Genomic DNA, 6809 nt, shown 5'->3' on the forward strand with positions numbered 1-6809 from the left:
TCAACTGATGTGGCAAACTTCACTGTCGTCTTTTAAGAAATCGTCACAGCCATCCCAACCTTCAGCACCCACCACCCTGATGAGTCAGCAGCCATCAACACTGAGGCAAGACCCTCCACCAGCAAAGATTATGACTTGCTCAAGGCCCAGATAATTGTTAGCAATTTTTTAGCAATAAAGTATTTTTAAATTAAGATATATACATTGTTTTTTTAGAAAAATGTGATTGCACACCACGTAGACTACAATGTAATGTAAACATATCTTTTATATGCACTGAGAAACAAAAATAAATCCTGTGGGATTCTCTTTATTGTGGTGGCCTGGAACCCACTCAGCAGTACTGCTGAGGTGCGCCTGCCCGCGGCTGGGGCTCTGGTGCCCCCTGCTGCTGGAATTCATCAGGGTCGTTTCCTTGTTGAATGAAGGGTTAGGATTTCAATATTAGATTCCAGGACACTGAAGGCTTCAGGAAAAGCAAAATAAATGCACTCCTGATAAGTTGCTCCCCACTGAGGGTTGGCTGGGATTATGATTGTCTTACTTTTTTGTGTTTTTCAGCATTTCACAAATAAAGACAAGACAGGATAAAGATAGAAAGTAATTTCCAATATTGCATTTGTATATGTGCTAGTTTTTCTCCCATGTTGAAAGGACTTTGCACAAAGTTGCCCTCCGAGACCAGCTCATGCTTCTAGAACCAACCCTGCCTGGACACCCAGCGAGCACTGCCTGGTTTGGATTTGAGCGCTCACAATTTCCTCTGCCCCAGTTGGGAGATTATAGGCTGTGCAGTTCATAGGAAAGTTTTGATTTCTGATACTTTAATTTTCCTTGAGTTTCAGGAAAACAAATGTGATATGAATGAGTGTTAACATATACCCTTATCGGCACAGTCAGAGAGGTGAAACTCTTGCACGAAGCTTGCCCCATGTGTCAATATTCCATGACTTCAGCTGAATAACTGTGTCTAAAAAACACACAATCAGCCACCATGTCAGCAGAAAACAAAATGCTAATTTTTAGGCTTCCTCACCTCATCTCCTGCTTGCTAGAGATGGAGGAATTAGGGGTGGGGCAGGAAAACAAAGGAGCAACATGTTATAAACTTGGCCTTTTTTCTCTAAGCACAGTCTAGGCCCAAAGCAGACCCAGGGCACAGTTCCTTCCAGGAAGCGTCATCGATGAGAAACTGGACTGTTACTTTCCACCCTGTGACTTTTCACAGGGTGGAGAAGTGAGGACGTTTCAGAATAAGGGAGCTTATTTTGCCTGGAAAAGAAAAGCTTGAGAGGAGATCATTTTTCATTTTGACATTTCCCGGGGATATAGTACTGGCCTGGTATTGTTTCATTTCAGAGCTTGTCTAGAATGGAAAACAAACAAAAGAAATGAACCAAAAAAAAAAAAAATGAAAAGAAGGAAACCAAATAAACTCAGGCCCCAGAGAGAAGATCTGAACCAGGCCTGCAGCATGGTCAGTCTCTGGCCTCCCACACTCACTTCCGTGAGGCTGCCTGCAGGTCCAGCCAATTGGCTTGGGTGCCAAGAACACCCAAAAGAATACTCCAAGGCAGTGTTCTCAAGTTGATCCATCAGGGTAAACAAAGTAATAAAACATGCTTTTATTTTTATCTCAACCTTTTAAATATTTTATTGTAATGCATATTTCACAAGGTATTGAGTACAAGGTATGCAGGGTACAGGAGTTTGTGGCCATCATTTATAAAGCACTAAGTAGACACATGGAGTGTGTTTCATCATAGCAGGATGTGATCAAACAGATTTGAGTCCTTGGTTTGGATGATCACCTATGACAAAGATTCTCTGCTTGACCAAACTTTAGTCAGTTTTCTGAACCTTCTCCTAGGGCTTCTGAACCTTCTCCTACACTTCCTTGTGACATCTGTTTTAGCAATCCCTGCTTTGTCAATTTAGCGAGAACTCCCCGCCCCTGATATCTGATCCCCCTCGGTGATATCTGATCAGGCTCACCATGCTCCACCATCCCCCATGATGACCTATCACCCCGACCTACCTTCAGCAGGAATCCTGTGAGGTGGCTTAGCCAGAATCCCTGTACCCCTAAAGTAGCCTCTTAGTAATTGCCCATCCACTGACCCCTCCCCCTGGTCCTTGGCTATAAATTTCCACTTGCCTATGCTGTTTTCAGAGTTGAGCCCAGTCTCTCTCCCTCGCTGCAAGATCCTTTGCTATTATCCCTGTGCCTGCCATGGCAGTCCCAAACAAAGTCTTCCTTACTGTGCTTTAACTAATGCCATTGGATATTTTTTTCTTTAACACCTGGAAAGTTGTGTGTGGTTTCCAGGGTTTCTCCAGTAGCCTAGAGCCATTTGGAATCACGAGAGTATAAGGTTGCCTCTACTAGGCCTGGCAACAGAGCCTCAAATATAAAAAAAGATAAAGGGATTAGAAAGCCCCAGGAAGCAGGATTACTGCAGGGCATAGGGCCTGGCCTGCGGTGGGCAGGAAGAACCATGGTAATCAACACATTGGTTGAGCAAATATGATTCTCCACCACTAATCCTTCATGCCATCATCTTACAAACAAACAAAAAAACAGGGAATATCAGTAGGATAGCTCTTGGCCATTCGTGATTGGACAGAGCAGCAATGCAAAGTCAAGTCAGTCTGCCTTTGCAACCTTCCCAAGTGCTTTCGGTACCCACTGCCTCATCACTGTCTCCTCCTGGCCCCTGGTGCCTCAGCGCCTGGCCTCCCAGGAATGTGCTTCATATAGCTGGCTTTTGACCCAAGGCCTGGGGTCCTCAAGGAGCCATTCTCCTGGGAGGCAGAGGCTGGGAGAGAAGATCTCTGAGGCCACAGTGTGGCCCTCCATGAAAAGGTTGGCTGCTCTTCTCAGCCTGAAGCCTCTAACCTTTTCCATCACAAGCTCACTCAGCAGTAGCCCTGGCAGGAGGCTGCACCTGGCATTTGAGAGTGAAAGGGAAATAAATGCAACCATGTGCAAGCACAAACACACCAGAAGGAAGCAAGCCTCCCAGGGTGGAAGGAGCCTTTTTGCTGTGAGACAGTAGGGATGGAAGGCTATTTCAGTCTATTTTCTTAACCTGCTGCCATGGACTCACTCCTCTGAAGTCTCCAGCCCACTCCTACATGGATAGGTCACCATGCAGGAATGGCCCTGTCTAGCACCCATCAATCATCAAGACCCCCTCCAATGGCTCATCCCCAGACCTCTCCAGGCGCTTACACCAGCCTCCACGCCCAGAGCACATGGGCCACCCTCCGTTCTTCCACACATGGCTGTTGCGGTGTGTTTCTCACTAGCTGTGTGTATTACAATGGCAGGAGCTTAGTCTTGTTCATCTTCTTACCATCTGGGCCTTGCACGATGTGTGGCACAAGATATGCAGATCCTCAGCCCACATTTGGGGAATGAATGAATTGTCCACACATAACCTCAGAAAATTACTTTAAAATGTTTAGAATAATGACAGAAAGAGCAGCCATGAGGTCAGTGCAAGTTCCAAGTGGGGTGGTCGCCAGGACGGAAAGTCCCAAAGCAATGAGGCTGAGGAAGGGCAGAGCCCTGGTGAATCTGGAGGGGCAAATTTCCACAGCACTTCCCATGCTCCTGCATGTGGCAGCCAAGCTCACAGTGGAAAAATGCGGGGTGTCCTGACTTTCCTCTTCACAAAGTAACTCACAATCATGCTGCTTTTCCTGATGCATACCTCATTTGGGGTTCTAATTTTTTGTGGAGTGTAAGATGTACACAGGAAAGTGCAAAATCCAGAGTGAGCCTGATGTGAACAAAGTGAACGCATTCAGGTTACACCAGAAGGATAAAGGAAAAAAATGATATCAGCTGCTTCAAGTCCCCTTGTGTCTCTTCCAGGAACTGCCCCTCCAAGGGGTATCCTCACTTCTCTCCACAGTGATTAATTTCAACAGTTGATCTTCAAGTCCTATGAACATGGGACTACGCAAATGTGCTCTCTTGTGTTTGGCTTCTTTAGCCCAATAATATATCTACGATTCATGCATTTTGTGTCGTGTGAATGTTGATTGTTCATTCTCATGCTGTCTAGTATTCACTGGCAAATATACTGTTGGCAATTCATTCATTCTCCTATGATGGAGCATTGGGGGTTTTGCATGTTCAGATATCTACAGTCTTCTAGGCACATGTGAACACATCCCTGGTGGGTGTGCATCTAGAAGCAAATTGCTAGTTTGTACATTTCCACTTCATAGACACTGCCAAACATTTAACAAGGTGTGATACCCGTGTTAATTAACCTTAGAGAAATGTCAATTGACTGTACAGAAAGATACATTACCGTTTCTCTGGGACTGCATAAGAATGCCATTACTCCACATTTTTGCCACTCCTTGGTATTTTCCATCGTTTTCATTTTAGCCATTCTAATTATTTTTTACATTAAATTTTATTTTGAAATAATTATAGGTTCACATGCAATTGTAAGAAATAATACAGAGAGATCCTGTGTGTCCTTTACTTAATTTCACTTAAAAGTAGCATCTTGCAAAATGATAGTACAATATTACACGAGGATATTGACATTGATGCGGTCAGGATGCAAGGCATTTCCATCACCCAGGGACCCCTAATGAGGACTTTTTGTATAGCCACATCTACTTCCTTCCATCCCTAGTCCCTCCTCAGCCCTTCACGACCACCATCTGTCATCCATTTCTATAATTTTGTCATTTCAAGAATGTTAAGTAAATAAAACCATACAATATATAATACTTCAGAATTTTTTTTGTTTCACTCAGTATAACTCTCTGAATATTCATCCAGGTTGTTTCATGTATCAATATTTTGTTCCTTTTTATTGCTAAGTAGTATTTCATAGTACAGCTGTAGCAGAGTTTAACCATTCACCCATGAAAAGTCATCTGGGTTTTTTCTAGTTTGGTGTTATTATGATTAAAGCTGTTATTAACATTTATATGAACATGTTTTTTGTGTGAACATAAATTTTAATTTCTCCAAGATAAATTCCCAAGAGTATAATTGCTGGATCATATGGTAGTTTCATGTTTAGTTTTTCTTAAAGAACCTACCAAACTATTTTCCAGGGTGGTTGTACCATTTTATGATCCCCCCTAGCAATGTATGAGTGGTGCAATTTCTCTGCATTCTCACCAGCAGTTGGTGTTACTGTGGCAGGAGGTGGAATTCAACTTCAGTGGCAGGGCTCAGACACTGGACCAAATTGAGGACTGGCTAAAACAGGTCCAGGGTAGAAGTAGCTTTCCATAAGACACACCCTTCAGTGTGCCATGTCAGTTTACCATTGCCGTGGCAACATCCAGAAGTTACCACCCCTTTCCATGGCAACCACCTGACACCCTCATCTTAGAAATTTCTGCATAAACTGCCCCCTTAATTTGCATATAATTAAAAGTGAGTATAAATATGAGTGCAGCACTACCTCTGAGCTGCTGCTCTGGACACACTGCCTGTGGGGTATCCCTGCTCTGCAACGAGCAGTACCTCTGCTGCTGCCATGCACTGCTGCTTCAATAAAAGTTGGTGTAAAAGTTGCTGTTTAACAAGTCCACTAGCTTGCCCTTTAATCCTTTTCTGGGAAGCCAAGAATCTCCCCAGGCTAAGTCCCATTTTGGGGGCTTGCCTGCCCTGCATCACTGTCACTGTTTTGTATTTTATCGACTCTGACAGGTGTGTATCGATACCTCCTCATGGTTTTAATCACCATTTTCCTAACATCTGATGATGCTGAACACCATTTCATGGGCTTTTTTGCCATATATGAACTTTTAATGCCTTTTGTCCATTTTCTAATTGGGTTATTCCTTTTTACTATTGAGTTCTGATTTTTTTTTTAATTTAGATACTTGTACTTTCTTGAACATGCAGTTTGTGAGCGATTTCTCTCAATCTGTAACTTAGTCTTTTATTCTTTTAACAGGGTCTTTTGAAAAGTAGAAGTTTTTAATTTTAATGAAGTCTAGTGTAACAATTCTTACTCTTATGGACTGGGCTTTTGGCTTTTGGTGTCTTTGCCTAGTCTTACATGTAGAAGATTTTCTATTTTTTCCCAAAAGTTTATTGTAGTTTTATTTATTGTTTTACGTTTTACATTTAAGTCAGTAATGCGTTTTGAGGTTTCTTTGTTTGTTTGTTTTGTTTTGTTCTGTTTTGTTTTGTTTTTTGAGATGGAGTCTCATTCTGTCACCCAGAATGAAGTGCAGTGGCGTGATCTTGGCTCACTGCAACCTCCACCTGCCGGGTTCAAGGGATTCTCCTGCCTCAGTCTCCCAAGTACCTGAGATTACAGGCATGCGCCACCACGCCTGGCTAATTTTTGTATTTTAGTAGAGATGAGGTTTCACCACGTTTGTCAGGCTGGTCTCAAACTCCTGATCTCATGATCTGCCGGCCTCAGCCTCCCAAAGTGCTGGGTATTTTTATATAAAATGTAAAGCTGAGGTCAAGGCTCTTATTTTTCTTTTGTTAAGGATTTTTGGTGTTTATTATAAGGGATTTTGGCAGTTTTCTTTAGTTTTTTTTTTGTACTATCTTTGATTTTTATGTTACAGAAATATTAGCTGTATTAAATGGATTGGGACATGTTTCCCCCTCTTTTGTTTTCTGGAAGAAGTAATATAGAATGTTGATTCTTTTATAACATTTGGTAGAATTCTTCACTGACATCATCTGGTCCTGGTTATTTCTTTTGGGGTTTTAAAATTATGAATTCAATTTCTTTGGTAGTTTAGGCCTATATGAATTATCTACAATAGTATTGTTCCCCTCTTATCTGTGAAGG

General features: G+C 42.4%; 1 annotated feature.

Moving 5' to 3' along the window:
* Window positions 256-550: an enhancer, noted in NCBI's record as "tiled region #14939; HepG2 Activating non-DNase unmatched - State 12:CtcfO, and K562 Activating non-DNase unmatched - State 13:Ctcf". NCBI's record gives its function as "activates a minimal TATA promoter and a strong SV40 promoter by Sharpr-MPRA in HepG2 and K562 cells {active_cell/tissue: HepG2 | K562}" and the evidence as "EXISTENCE:reporter gene assay evidence [ECO:0000049][PMID:27701403]".

Source organism: Homo sapiens, chromosome 20 (genome assembly GCF_000001405.40).
Source record: "Homo sapiens chromosome 20, GRCh38.p14 Primary Assembly".
In the NCBI taxonomy this organism is placed as follows: domain Eukaryota; kingdom Metazoa; phylum Chordata; class Mammalia; order Primates; family Hominidae; genus Homo; species Homo sapiens.